Genomic DNA, 14,512 nt, shown 5'->3' with positions numbered 1-14,512 from the left:
TATGCTGCTGCTTATATTTTTTAAAATACAAATTAATACTTGAAACTTTCGTTTTTTTTAATTTTTTTTTGAGACGGAGTCTTGCTCTGTCGCCTAGGCTAGAGTGCAGTGGCGCCATCTTGGCTCACTGCAAAGTCCGCCTCCCAGGTTCAAGGGATTCTCCCACCTCAGCCTCCCAAGTAGCTGGGATTACAGGTGCCCACCACCACGCCCAGCTAGTTTTTGTATTTTTACAAAAATACAAAAAATCCCATACAGACGTGGTTTCACCATGTTGGTCAGGCTGGTCTTGAACTCCTGACCTCAGGTGATCCGCCCGCCTCAGCTTCCCAAAGTTCTGGGATTACAGGCATGAGCCACCACACCTGGCCAATACTTGACATTTTCTACAGGCACCCATGTGTATGTGAAACCCTCAAGCCTGAAAGGAGAGGCACTGCCAGTGGTGCAGATGAGGTTTGTGGATGAACACGGCTGGCCTTCAGAGCCATGCCCAAGCCCAGCTGACCTGAATGGAATCAACCCTTCAGGCCAGAGCAGAAGGAAAAGCTACCAGGAAATAGGCCTGGCTTATGGAAGTGAGCCCTGCCCATGCTGATGGAACCCTCTCCTTCTTCCTCCAGGTCGACATTTATAACTCAGACCCCCTGATCTGCCGGGCAGGGCTGAAGGTGTGCTTCGGCATCCAACTGCTGAATGCCGTCTCACGGGTGGAGCGCGCCCTCCCCAAGCTGACTGTGCCCTTCCTGCTGCTCCAGGGCTCTGCCGATCGCCTATGTGACAGCAAAGGGGCCTACCTGCTCATGGAGTTAGCCAAGAGCCAGGACAAGACTCTCAAGGTGAGCGGCTGCCACTTGCCCACTTCCCCCCAAGGTGGAGGGGGGACAGGAAGGCAGCACCCCTTGGGGCACATCTGCCCAGACCCTCGAGGGCCACCTCCCAGGTCTCAGGATAGGGACCAGCCTGCTTGACCGAGAAATAAATAAATAAAAGGAATCCCAGGAGCCTATGAATTTCAAGAGAACACGAGTCATTTGCTGATTGTTTTGCATGAATAAGCCTCAAAGGGAAGAAGAACAATCAAAAGATGTTATAGGCAAGAAAGGAATCTGCAACTGGGCACTGAGCAAATAAAATCTCCTGAGAGAGAGACATGTCCAAGCTCCAAGGACACGTGTGATGCCCAAGCCTCCCTCTGCACCAGTGGTAGCTGCAGTAGCTCGGGAGCCATGGCCACCAGAGGGCTCAGGGCACACAGGTGCTGGCAGGACTTGGCAGAGCCTGATCCGTGAAGGGAGCTGCCAGAGCTAGCTCTGCAGACAGGGGCCCTGAGGACAGGCCCTGCGGCTTGGTTATGTGGAATATTAGACAGCAAGACTATATATATATACACACACACATATATATACACACATACATATATATACACACATATATATACATACATATATATACACATATATATACACATACATATATATACACATATATATATACACACATACATATATATATATATATATATATTTTTTTTTTTTTTTTTTCAGACAGAGTATCCCTCTGTCACCCAGGCTGGAGTGCAGCGGCGCCATCTCGGCTCACAGCAACCTCTGCCTCCCAGGTTCAAGTGATTCTGCTGCCTCAGCCCCCTGAGTAGCTGGGATTACAGGCGCCTGCCACCCTGCCCGGCTAATTTTTGTATTTTTAGTACAGATGGGGTTTCATCATGTTGACCAGGTTGGTCTCACTCCTGACCTCAGGTGATCCACCTGCCTTGGCCTCCCAAAGTGCTGGGATTGCAGGCGTGAGCCACCTCACCCAGCAAAATATATTTTTTAAAAGCCACAGTGGAACACTGCATTCATCCATGAGAGCATCACTGAGACCGCCCTTACACCAATGTGAACCCTTGCCAAGTCCCTGCGAAAGGAGTCCGCTAAGATTGTTTATTCATTCATTTACCCAGCTATCCATTCATTGCTTCTTTAATTCAAGTATTTATGGGGCCCTAAGTTTCTGTCAGGCCCAGAGAACAAGACAGGCAAAGGCTCTGCCCTGCCCCCCCGGAACCTGTATCCTGGTGGGATGAGCAAATAAATGAAACGGATGATGATGGAGAGGAGTCGGTGCCCCTAAGGAAACTCAGCAGAGTGTAGTGTAGGCATAGAGGGGGACAGGGGGAAAGCAGCACTTTAGATGGGACAGCCAGGCCTGCAGTCTGTTGGTGAGAAGAGCCAGTGGAAGAACCTTCCAGACTGAGGCAAGAGAGAGATTGAGGACCTGAGGCTGGCATAGGCACGCAGCCATAAGAAGAGCAGCCAGTGAGGATGCACCAGTCAGGGACGCTGGTGGCGGGGGGCAGGGGAGCCCCACCACCTGTGAAGTCTAAACTTCTTCTCTTGGTTAGATGAGAAGCCACATGAGCATTTCAAGCCAAGGAGTGACGTGCTGTGATTTTCATTTTAAAAGCATCCCCCCGTGGCCTTGGGAAGACAGGAGCTGGGGTAAGGAGGAGGTAGGAGACAGTGACAACCAAGGCAGGTCAAGCCAGGCAGGGTGGCAGAGAGTGAGATCACTGTCATGAAGGACGACCCCTGGGTTTGGGCTTGCAGTAATGAGGAGGCTGTAATGAGACCGGAAACGCCAGGCAGAGAGACTGACGTGAGCAACGGCTGGAGTCCACCTGGAGATGCCCATTAGCGTCGCACTGAAGTCTGGAGGTCCCTGCCAGAAATTCGGATGGAGATGGCAGGTCGGCAGTCTAGAGGCAGAAGGGAAGTCTGGCTGGAGATGTAAATTCCGGAGTCATCAGCCCAGGATGGATTTTAAAACCACTGGACTGGACAAGGTGACCAGGGAGAGTGAAGGAGGGCACAGCCAAGCCCGTAGTCCAGCCGCCTGCAGAGGCCAGTGGGTGGGGTGAGCCTGGACTGAGAAGGATCTGCCGGCTAGGTTGAAAGAAAATCAAAAGTTAAAGCCATGGAACCACAAGAGGAAAGTGTTTCTAGAAGGTGACAGTGAGCAGCTTATGAATGACCAGCACAGTGTCCCCTGCCACAGCAATGGAGGTCCCTGGAGACCTCGCCAGGCTAGCCACCGTGGGTTGGCGGGAGTGGAAGTCGGCTTGGGATGAGCTGAGGACCCCGTGGAGGTCAGGATGTGAGGCCGGGAGTGGAACCCCCTCTTTTGAGAAGGTTGCCTGACTCAGAGACACAGAAACGGGTCCAGGGATGGGGAGAGATGTGGAGTGAGGGAAGGTTTGCATTTGAGAAAGGAAGTTCGAGAACACACTGGGACATTGTAACACATTTGAACCATCTTCTGATAGAAAGGTGTTGGCCTCCTAATAATGGGAGGTCAGGGCCAGGTCCTCGGGCATAGGGAGAGGGTCCGGAGAATGCTGCAGACCCCTGCCCACTGCCCACGGTCTCCGCTCCCTGCACCTGCCTCTGATGGTGCAGCTCTGATTCCGTGTCTCTCCTCATTGCAGATTTATGAAGGTGCCTACCATGTTCTCCACAAGGAGCTTCCTGAAGTCACCAACTCCGTCTTCCATGAAATAAACATGTGGGTCTCTCAAAGGACAGCCACGGCAGGAACTGCGTCCCCACCCTGAATGCATTGGCCGGTGCCCGGCTCATGGTCTGGGGGATGCAGGCAGGGGAAGGGCAGAGATGGCTTCTCAGATATGGCTTGCCAAAAAAAAAAAAAAAAAAAAATCAGAAATTGGAGAAATCCTTAGCACAATTTTCTAAAAAATAACAGACATTTTTGTTATACATTAGACTATCAGACACTGGACCTACCTTAATGGTTAGACACTTTATGCAAAAAAAGAGAAAGGTCCCAGGTGATTTTCCACAAAGAATGTGCTAAAATGTCCACTGAAAACAAAGCCAAGCCTCTGCCCTGCCTCTCCCAGCTCCCACAAGGGTTCCAGGAATTCCTGGTGTTCCCAGGACACCAGACTGCAATAACTGGAGGCGCCTCCTTCCTGCCCACCCTTCGCTCACGCCCCAGCGCCCTCTCTGACCAGCCTCCGCTTGGTGGCCTTCCTCTGGCCGTGTGATGAGGTGGTTGCTGTCTCCATAGGGGCCAGCTCCCCAGGGCAGACTCACGTGCCCCTCTGAGGCTCAGAAAATGCCCAGCCCTTCCTCAAAATGAGCAGCCACCCATGACTTTGTGGGCTCCTTGTTAGCCTGAGACCAGGCTTTGCAGAGGGGCGGGGGGTGAGGCTTAGCCCAGAAGGAGAACTGAGCAGGAAACCAAGGCTCTTCTCTGTCCCCTGCCCTTCCCCTCCTGCCAGGGGGAGGCTCAGGTTGGTCCCCGAGTGCCGCCTGTACTCACAAAGGCTGCCTTTCCTCTAGAGTCACTAATTTTACCTGATGCTATGAGAGAATCATATTGAAGATGAAATGTCTAATATATAATGTATATTTTAAAGCAGAGACTATTTTGGTGGATAGGTGGGAGGGAGCAAGGGGAGTTTGAGGGAATCAGAGCTTGATGCTACTGTACAGAACTGGACAGGTTGGGCCGGCAGTGGTGGGGCCAGAGGGCTCTGTGCTCTAGGAGCTAAGCCAGCAGCCCCCGAGAGGGGACTTGGCTGGGCCTTTCCTATGGGCAAGGCCCAGTGCTCTTCCTGCCCACCAGGGACCATGGAGCAGTGGCACCCTATGGGGCTATGATCCCTAGGCCTGGGCCTGGGCCTGCCTATGGCCCAGAGCTACCCTGGGAGTGTCAGTGCTAGCAGCACAGCTACCTCTGGTGGCAGGAGAAGAGAGGCCCAGCACAGCAGCAGGCCAGGCCTTCCTGTCCAGGTCTGCATGGAGCACTCGGTGACCCAGAGCAGGGACTGGAGGCACCCCCAGCCCTGCCCCAGGCCACAGCAGGACAGGCCGGGACAGGCCTCACCCAAGGCCAAGGCTGGCATCAGCCAATCATTCAGAGCTGAGGCCCTGGGCCTAGCCTGCCCTTCTCAGGTGCCAATACCACCCCAGCCCTGCCCTTGGCCTCACTTTTTCCCAGCAATAAGTGGGGTTCACCACCCGCCTCGGGAATACTTTCCCCTTCTAAATGGGACTTGCTGTTACCTCAGGAGGCTCCTTAGTGCAAATATGACCCTGGTCAGGGCTTTGCCACCGTTGAAGCCCTGCAGAAGGTGCAATGTAGGGGTTCTGGGGCCACAGAGGAGAGGCCACTTCCCACCAGGACCCCCAACATGAAGTCTAGGCCTCAGGGGCTCCCGCCCTTCTTCCTCCAGCAGCGGGAACTGCCACTGCTCTCCCAGGCCCTGTTCTGGAGGCTAACCTTGGTTCCTGGAGAGTGTGCCCCTCCACCCTCCCTCCAGCAGCCCTGATCACACCATGAGAGCCAGGAACGGGTCACCCTGCTGAAGATCACTCTGTGCCCTGGGGGAGGAGCCAAGCCCTCACCCCACAAGGGGCAGGTGGGGGCTTGGTTGCTGACCCGGCCCAAGTCCCCACAGAGCACCTTCTGTAGCTCCAGCTTGTCTCCCTGGCTTCTCTTTGAAGGAGAAAAATGTAAAATATGCACTGAGAAAGCCAGCCCCGCCTGCTTAGTCAGCCCCGGCAGCAGGGCAGCCATGGGAACTCAGGAAAAGCAGGAACCCTTTCCAAAAGCCCAGAGATGCCCTGGGCTCAGATCTGTAATTCTCCCAGGAGCTGTGATAGAGCAGGCCACACAAAGTCCCTACGCCTCCCTGCTGCCTCCCCCAGATGCATGTGGTGGCATCACCATTCCCCAAATTGAATATCAGCATGCGGCCTGACCAGGGACTCTTTAGATGCATGAATTTATTTATATGAAGGCTCTCACAGAGACACACACAGCACTTCAGTAGCATTTGCATTCCTGGTTAAAGAATCACCAATATTTAAAATAAAAACTTTCCTGAAATTGGGACTGTCATGTTATCCAGAAGGGCTGGTACATCCGCCCACCATGTCCCCCTGCTGGGTCAGGAGCCAACACAGGACCCTGCGTGTGAGCGTGCCTGACATCTCACGCACGGCCACTCCAGAGCCGGTCCCTGTCCTTGGAAAGCTGTGAAGCCTTGCGTTGAGTTCCTTCTCGATACTGACGGCTCCGTGCTGACATTCTGAGCTCTGGAGTCACACCAGCGCAGGGGCGTGGAGGAACTGAGGTTTGGAAGGAATGCCAGGTCTCGCACAGCTTGGCCTCGAGAAGGTGAGAGGAAGGCAAAGGCCAGGGAGGGGACCCAGAGAGGCCTGGCACACAAGGCCCAAGCACCACCGTCAACACAGCCCAGTCCATACAGAAATGGGTTTCATGCCTGAAAAGCTTTTTACAGAAAGATGCCGCCTGTAGCCAGTGACAGCCGCAACCCTACAGGCCTCAGTTCCTTGCAGAGGTGAGGGGTAGAGAGTCAGCCTCCCTCCCTTCCAGCAGCGACCCAGCTTCCCTCCACTTCCAGGTGGTGCTGGGCTCACCGAGGGAGCACTGGTGGGTGCTCTGAAAACCCACAGGATCCCACCTCCAGGCCCACCTGGGTCCCATCTCACTCTCTTCTTCTTTCACCAATTGCTAACATAGACCTTGTTGGGATCACGATGGCTTCACAAGCCAGCTGTTGGGTTTGCTATGTCACTGTGGCTCAGTCACATCCCTGCGTGTATACTGTCTGCGGGGCACATATGTATCCATTTAGAGCTAAAGGAATCAGTGTACACTACAGCTAATCCTAATAAATCCGATGTTTTCGGAATGGCGTCTGTCTGTCCATCACAGTAGCCTCTGACCCTGGATGGCAATCTTCCTTGCTGAGAGCACAGCAGGCCCTTTTTTAGACAGGCTGATCCCTGCCTGAGCCATGCCTGTCACCTGATACCAACTCCAGCAGTGCTTCCCAGCCTCCATCAGCGTGTGTGGAGTTTATCTTCTCCCATCCACGCTTGGAGCAGATTTCTAAACACACACATCCTCTCGCAGACCCTGCCCCGCCACTGGGGAGGACGGAGCCCAGGCCACCCTCCCCGTGCCAGCTTCAGGTGGCTTGTGCTTTCTCCAGGGCCCCATATAGATGCCAAACCCATCCCCACACAAGCTGGGCTCTGTCCGGACTCAGCCCTCCCTCCTCAGCATAGGGAACCCGGCCTCCTGCTGCTGGGCATCCTCCAGCCCCTCTCCATTCTATACCCACACGTGGCCCAGCCACTCTCCTCCTAAGTGTGGCCAGGATTATATGGCTTCCTTCCAGCTGCACAGCTGTCACCAGCGTCTGAGGGATGGCAGCAGCAGCCTCCTTGGCAGGCCCCGCTTTCTCTCCTGCACCCAGTCTGTTTCCACACGGAGGCGAGAGGGCTGTTAAAGTATGAGTCAGACTGTGGCCCTTCTCTGCTTAACATCCTCCGGTGACTACCATCTCACCTAAATAAAGGCCACGGTTCTTGCTGAGGCCTATAGGTGCTGGGCCTTTGGCCTCCTTGCCTCCCCTCTCCCCATCCTCCACATCCACTCAGTCCTCACCATGCCAGCCTCCTCACGGGCTGTCTTCTCAGTGAGGCCCTCCCCCAGGTGCTGCCCTGCCTTCTCCTCCTCCAGCACACTTGTTGACATCTGACATGACAGATCTTCTGCTTGTCTGCTTGGTAGCACTCTGTCCCCTCCCTTGTGAGCTGCAAAAGGGCATATCCCTGCACTACACCTCTGCCTGCTTCCCAGAGGGTCCCTGGAAAGGCCTGCCTGATAGGGCAGGGAGGGAAGGAGTGGGTGAGTGAGTGAATGAATGAGTGAGTGATGGAATGATGTGTTCTCTTTATCCTCTCTCTCAGGAGGAGCCAAACCCCCATCCCATGCAGGGCAGGTGAAGGCTCAGGTGCTGAGCCCAGGTCCCCACAGAGAGCGCCTACCATAGCCCCATATTATCTCTCTGGTTTCTCTTTGAAGGAGAAAAATGTAAAAAGTGCACTGACATGAGTGAGTGAGGGACTGTGCAAGTGAGTGAATGAATGAGTGAGAAAATGAATGCATGATGGATTGAATGAGTGAGGAAATGAGTGAGTGAATGAATGAGCAAGGGAATGAATGAATAAGTGAGTGAATGAATGAGGGAATAAGTGAGTGAGGGAATGAGGGAGTGAATGAATGAGCAAGGGAATGAATGAGGAAATTAGTGAATGAATGACTGAGGAAATGAGTGAGTGAGAAGAATGAGTAAGTGAATGGGGATGAATGAATGAAGGAATAAGTGGTGAGGGAATGAGAATGGATGAATGACGAAAGGAGTGAATGAATGAGGGAAATGAATGAGGGAAGGAATTAATGAATGAAGGAATGAGTGAGAATGAGTGGGGATGAATGAAGGAATGAGTGATGAGGGAGTGAGTGAGAATGGATGAGTGTGGGTATGAATGAGTGAGATCATGAGTGAATGAGGGGATGAATGAATGAAGGAACAAGAGTGAGGGAATGAGTGAGAAAATGAATGAGTGAGGGAATGAGTGAGAGAATGGATGAATGAGGGAATGAGTGATGAGTGAATGAATGAGGGAATGAGTGAGTGAGGAAATGAGTGAATGAATGAAAGCGAATGAGGGGATGAATTGAGGGAATGAGTGGGTGAGGAAATGACTGATGAATGACTGAGAGAATGAATGAGTGAGGGAATGAATAAGTGAAGAAATAGAATAAATAAGTGAATGAGTGAGGGGATGAATAAATGAGGGAATGGGTGAGTGAGGGAATGTGTGATGAGGGAATGGATGGATGAGGAAATGAGTGAGAGAATGAAGGAATGAGTGAACGAGTGAGTGAGAGAATGGATGAGTAAGGAAATGAGTGAGAGAATGAATGAATGAACGAGTGAGAGAATGGATGAGTGAGGAAATGAGTGAATGAATGGATGAGTGAAGGGATGAATGAATGAGGGAATGAGTGGGTGAATGAATGGATGAGTGAATGAGTGGGGGATGAATAAATGAGAGAATGAGTGAGTGAATGAGGGAATGAGTGAGGGGATGAATGAATGAAGGAATGAGTGGTGAGGGAATCAGAATGGATAAGTTAGGGAATGAATGAGGAAAGGAGTGAGAAAATGAATGAATGAATGAGGGAGGGAATTAATAAATGAAGGAATGACTGAGGAAATGAGAGAATGAATGAAGGAATGAGTGATGAGGGAATGAGTGAGAATGGATGAGGGAATGAATGAGTGAGAGCATGAGTGAACAAGGGGATGAATGAATGAAGGAACAAGAATGAGGGAATGAGAGAAAATGAATGAGTGAGGGAATGAGAGACAAGTGAATGAATGAGGGATGAGTGAGTGAGGAAATGGGTGAATGAATGAAAATGAATGAGGGGATGAACTGAGGAAATGAGTGGGTGAGGAAATGAGTGATGAATGAGATAATGGATGAGTAAGGGAATGAATGAGCAAGTGAAGACATGAGAGAATAAATGGGTGAATGAGTGAGGGGATGAATAAATGAGGGAATGAGTGAGGGAATGTGTGATGAGGGAATGGATGGGTGAGGAAGTGAGTGAGAGAATGAATGAATGGGTGAATGAGTGAGAGAATGGATGAGTGAGGAAATGAGTGAAAGAATGAGTGAATGAGTGAGGCGATGAATAAATGAGGGAATGAGTGAGAGAATGAATGGATGAGTGAATGAGTGAGGGGATGAATAAATAAGTGAGAATTGAGAGAATGAATGAATGAGAATGAATGAGGGGATGAATGAATGAGGGGATGAATGAATGAGGGAATGAGTGAGCGTGGGAATGTGTGATGAGGGAATGAATGAGAGGAAATAAGAGAATGATGAGTTAGTGAATGAGTGAGAGGATGAATAAATGAGAGAATGAGTGAGAGAGAATGAATGAGGGAATGAGTGAGGGGATGAAAGAATCAGAGAATGGATGAGTCCATGAGTGAGGGGATGAATAAATGAGGAAATGAGTGAGCGAGAGAATGGTTGAGTGAGGGAGTGATGAAGGAATGAATGAGTGGCCAAGGGAGGGAGAGAGGGATGGAAAGAGGGAGGAAGGAGGCAGGAAGGCTTTATCTGAGCCAGGCACTGAGCTGGGAACTGGGTGTGGAAGCAGGGTTGGCCTCGCAGCCTGGCCACCCATGCAGAGGCCCAGACCCCACCCTAGAAGGTCCGTGCGTTTGGGTGAGTGCTCTACTGTTGCTCTCTGGAAATTCTTAATGCTCTTTGAGCAAGGTCCCCACGTGCTGTTTTGCACTGGACCCTGCAAACCACTCAGGCCCTGGGTGGGTGGCACCTGGCCTCTGTGCAGAAGGTCCCCCAAAGGTGTGCAGACCTGAAGGACAGCCCGTTCTCTCCACGTCCTCATGCTCTACTTATGGCCAACCAAATTCTGCCTGGAACTTCACTGTATCAAACCTAGAGCCAACAATGTTTGCATTTGTTGGCTTTTCCAGCCTCCTCCATGAACACTCAGGCTCATCACAAGCCCCTTACTGGGCACCTGTGATGCTCCAGGCACGGTGTCCAGCGCTGGGAGGAACCCAGCGCTGCACGGTGACCAGGGCAGAACAAGGTGGGCCGCCCTCACAGAACAAGGACCCCGGGCGACATGGACTCCCACCCCAGAGCCTAACAGCGATGGGCACCCAGTGTCCGCCAGCACAGCCTGGGGCCAGCACAGCCCTCCAGAAGCCAAAGGTGAGCAGGAGCGGGCCGGGGTTGGGGGCACAGCAGAGGGGTCTGCGGGGGAGTTTTCGAGGTGCAGAGAGCTCAGGGCGGCCCCAAAACTGAGAGACTCTCAGGATGGCTGGAGCACAGGTGTGAAGGGCATGGTCATTCGGGGCCCTGCAGGAAACAGCTGCACCTAACCAAGGGTGGTGTCACTAAAGGGGTCAGCAGCAGATGATGCAGCGTCCAAGACCAGCCACAGCAGGGAGCAGACCCTCAGAGCAGCAGTTGCTGCGGGAGAGGACCACCTGTCGGTTGGGGGCTTTAGGTAGAGGGTTGCCCAGCCCCACCTTCACTCTTCTTCCTCTTCTGGTGGGTCAACAAGCCATCCCTATACTACCTTTCCTGTGCAAAATGGAGTTTATTTCCTTTCCATCATTGCTCATTTTGTCATTGTCCAGTTGATTTTTCTTTTTTTTTTTCTGAGACAGCGTCTCACTCTGTTGCCCAGGCTGGAGTGCAGTGGTGCAGTCACAGCTCACTGCAGCCTCAACCTCCTGGGTTCAAGCTACCTTCCCACCTCAGCCTCTAGAGTAGCTGGGACTACAGGCTCGCGCCACCACACCCGGCTAATTTTTTATTTTTTGGAAAGACAGAGTCTCAGTGTGCTGCCCAGGCTGGTCTCAAACTCCTGCGCTCAGACCATCCTCCTGCCTCAGCCTCCCAAAGTGCTGGGATTACAGGCGTGAACCACCAGTCTATTTTTCTGTCTGTTAAAAATTTGTGGGTATCTTGAGTTGGGAGAGAATACATATAATTTTTCCAATAACACATGATGAAAATATTTTTCATTCAACAATAAAATTTTTTTTTCACCTGGGAGTGGGAATGAATTAAAGAGATAAACATGTTTTGTTTTATTTTTAATTTTAAAGGTAGCACAGCTACATTACAGAAACTAAACAGAAATCAGATCAAATATCCCCAGCTCTCACGCAGCAACTCTTCCTCTGGTTTAGGGATGATGGAGGAGTCTCAAACCCAGGGCCTCTGTGTCAAAATGTGTCTTCTATTAGTCTATTTTAACATTTGTCAGAGTAGAGCACACTTCTGAATTTAAATCAACCCAATTTTAGAACCAAGTATTAGACACTAAATTTCAAATTCCATGGTTGTAGTTCACTACTCCTGTGTGGCTGTCTGTGCTACAGGTTTCTCACATAAGCCTGGGGAGCACCCCCTAGTGCCTGAATGTCCTCCACCTTTTCCTTGTGGACACAGAAGCTTCACTGACCACCCTCGTAGTTACAGGAAGCTCTGCGCATCCATGCTCTCTGTTCCTTCCCCACTTGCTGCTCGCTGCGGCTGCTGGCAATGCTTCCTGTTGATTTGCAATACCGCATTGGACACCTTCCTACATAAGTGTTTCCCCATCGCGCTGTCTTCTCTGCCTGAGGCTAAAGTGAGGAATGGGGCCGGGTGCAGTGGCTCATGCCTGTAATCCCAGCACTTTGGGAGGCTGAGGCGGGCGGATCACTTGAGGTCAGGAGTTCGAGACCACCCTGGCCAGCATGGTGAAACAATGTCTCTACTAAAAATATGAAAATTAGCTGGGCATGGTGGTGGGCGCCTGTAGCCCCAGCTACTCTGGAGGCTGAGGCACGAGAATCATTTGAACCTGGGAGATAAAGGTTGCAGTGAGCCGAGATCACACCACTGTATTCCAGCCTGGGTAAAAGGGCTAGACTCCGTCTCAAAAAAATAAAATAAAATAAAATAAAATAATAAAATAAAATAAAGTGAGAAATGGTGTGGTGTGGCTGGGGAATGCTGCCCCAACAACCACACAGCCTAGTTCCTGAGGGGTGGCAGTTCTCAGACTGCAGCTCTCCCTGAACAGGTGCCATAGCTGGTACACCTGGCTGTATGTATCTGCTGTATCAGTGAACCACTAAAATACCAACTCCAGATAATTTTTCCTTAAACTGCCCTCTTACTAGGGTTTTATTTAAAATTTGTTCAAGATTGGAAACTTTATGATTTCAAATAATAACATCTGTAAAAAAAGGTTTCATGTAGTAGCTCATTTTCTCCCCTAATGCATATGAAAAGAAATGCATAGGAATTAAAATTTTTTATTTAAATATTTAAATCTCTCTTGGCACACCAGGATTTGTGTGTGCTCTGAGGTGAGACCTGCTGGTGTTAGGCCACTAGCCTGGCCTCACTCTTCCCTTCCTGTGTGCCCCAGGGCAACCGGAGTGAGCCCCTGTCACTCCCGTGCTCCCACCTCCCACCCACCAGGTGGACTCAGCCTTTGTTTAACACACCAGGCTCAGGATAGGTCAAACACTAGGTAAGAGGGAGTTGCCATAATCACCCCCAGTTTGTGGGCGGGCAAACAGGCAGAGCGGTGGCCAGCAGTGAAAGGCAGACCCACGGTGGGGTTGGTCCTCTGGCCGCAGCTCAGCTCTGGCAATGCGCAGACCCCCGCCAGCCCATCCCATCTCAGGCTGTTTTCAGGATCCCAGGCCCTTGCACAAACTACAATCTCCACCCACAGGCCCTACCCAGGACACCTCCCCAACACACTCATCACCTCCTGCAGGCTGCACCATGACTTGTCCCAGCTGATCCCTCACTAGTGGTCACTTCAGACCTACAACTTCCCCCATGTGACGACCAACATGCCAGTGCAACATGGCTGAAAATGCACTGGGGAGGAAAAAGGGAAAAAATCCAAAAATACCATAGTAAAAAGGCATGAAGAGGCCGGGCATGGTGGCTCACACCTGTAATCCCAACACTTTGTGGGGCCAAGGCAGGCGGATCACCTGAGGTTAGGAGTTCAAGCTCAGCCTGGCCAACAGGGCGAAACCCTGTGTCCACTAAAAATACAAAAATTAGCCGGGCATGGTGGTGTGCACCTGTAATCCCAGCTACTCAGGAGGCTGAGCAGAATTGCTTGAACTCGGGAGGTGGAGGTTGCAGTGAGCCAAGCAAGATCGCACCACTGCACTCCAGCCTGGGCGACAGAGCGAGAATCCGTCTGAAAAGAAAAAAAAAAAAAAAAAGCATGAACAGCTGTGAAATAACTGCAGGGAGGGTGGAGACACCCGATATTAGAAGCCCTGTGAAAGAACCAGCCTTCCTTTCCTCCCCCAGGGCCATGACACGACACTGAGTTTAACCAGGTTAGAAGGCAGAGGCCTGGTGGGGGGGCGGTCCACAGGCCTGCAGCTCATCGTGAGAAACCCCCTTGGGGCTCAAATACCCCAAAATGAAGACCCAAGCAACAACCTCAGAAGCAGGAGCTTCTCTCTGAACTTTTGCCCCCTTCTCTCAGTCTCATCATCCCGAGGCTAGCCACAGAAACTAGAATCCCTCTTCCCCTAGGCGGGCCCTAGAAACCAGAGCCCCCTTTCCCCAAAGCCAGCCATAAAACCTAAAAACAGGACTCTCACTTTCCCTCTGCCGTATCTGTGTAAAAACTGGCCATAAAGTAATAATCTGATCCACCTTGTTTGACTATAGGTCATAAGACCCCCATTCCAGAGGGTCCTGCCCCACACCCAGAAGGTAGGCAGGCAGGCTGCTCAGAGAGACCAAGAAGAATCTAGACAGGCCTGGCTGCATTTCCCTGTTCAGTCAGCATAGGATCCTGCACTTTTTGCCAATCCCATTTCTACTCGGCTGGCCACACTTTGCTGAGCCTAAGCCTAACAATGGACAGCTTCCCATCTTTGGGTCTTCATTCTGAAGACGCCCATGTCTACATGCTAAATAAATTTGCGTGTCTTTTCTCCTGTTACTCTGCCTTTTGCAAGTTAATTTTTCAGTGAACCTTCAGAGGGCCAAGGAGAAAGGTC

At 51.4% G+C, this 14,512-nt stretch overlaps 1 protein-coding gene across 13 annotated transcripts in view, besides 5 other annotated features; it reads left to right on the top strand.

Moving 5' to 3' along the window:
* MGLL (monoglyceride lipase) overlaps positions 1–6,748 on the top strand; it is a 134,120-nt gene extending 127,372 nt beyond the window's left edge. For 12 of the 13 annotated variants that reach the window (NM_001388316.1, NM_001003794.3, NM_001388313.1 and 9 more), the window contains 2 exons: positions 624–839; positions 3,491–6,748. In NM_001388316.1, coding sequence (NP_001375245.1) covers positions 624–839; positions 3,491–3,616 — 342 coding nt within the window. In that variant the 3' untranslated portion in view covers positions 3,617–6,748. Of the gene's footprint in view, positions 1–623; positions 1,025–3,490 lie in introns of those variants that run through there. The other variant, NM_001388314.1, reaches the window with a different exon arrangement.
* Positions 5,601–6,106: an enhancer, noted in NCBI's record as "H3K27ac-H3K4me1 hESC enhancer chr3:127408551-127409056 (GRCh37/hg19 assembly coordinates)". NCBI's record gives its function as "activates a minimal SCP1, AML or CMV promoter by ChIP-STARR-seq in naive H9 embryonic stem cells {active_cell/tissue: H9 hESC(naive)}" and the evidence as "EXISTENCE:reporter gene assay evidence [ECO:0000049][PMID:30033119]".
* Positions 6,107–6,612: an enhancer, noted in NCBI's record as "H3K4me1 hESC enhancer chr3:127408045-127408550 (GRCh37/hg19 assembly coordinates)". NCBI's record gives its function as "activates a minimal SCP1, AML or CMV promoter by ChIP-STARR-seq in naive H9 embryonic stem cells {active_cell/tissue: H9 hESC(naive)}" and the evidence as "EXISTENCE:reporter gene assay evidence [ECO:0000049][PMID:30033119]".
* Positions 10,082–10,211: an enhancer, noted in NCBI's record as "active region_20460". NCBI's record gives its function as "activates an Ori minimal core promoter by ATAC-STARR-seq in GM12878 lymphoblastoid cells {active_cell/tissue: GM12878}" and the evidence as "EXISTENCE:reporter gene assay evidence [ECO:0000049][PMID:35858748]".
* Positions 10,602–10,711: an enhancer, noted in NCBI's record as "active region_20459". NCBI's record gives its function as "activates an Ori minimal core promoter by ATAC-STARR-seq in GM12878 lymphoblastoid cells {active_cell/tissue: GM12878}" and the evidence as "EXISTENCE:reporter gene assay evidence [ECO:0000049][PMID:35858748]".
* Positions 12,518–13,053: an enhancer, noted in NCBI's record as "H3K4me1 hESC enhancer chr3:127401604-127402139 (GRCh37/hg19 assembly coordinates)". NCBI's record gives its function as "activates a minimal SCP1, AML or CMV promoter by ChIP-STARR-seq in naive H9 embryonic stem cells {active_cell/tissue: H9 hESC(naive)}" and the evidence as "EXISTENCE:reporter gene assay evidence [ECO:0000049][PMID:30033119]".

This window comes from Homo sapiens, chromosome 3, assembly GCF_000001405.40.
Source record: "Homo sapiens chromosome 3, GRCh38.p14 Primary Assembly".
NCBI classification, from domain to species: Eukaryota; Metazoa; Chordata; class Mammalia; order Primates; family Hominidae; genus Homo; species Homo sapiens.
Note: the sequence above shows the minus strand (reverse complement) of the source record. Positions and strands in the feature narration are given on the sequence as shown.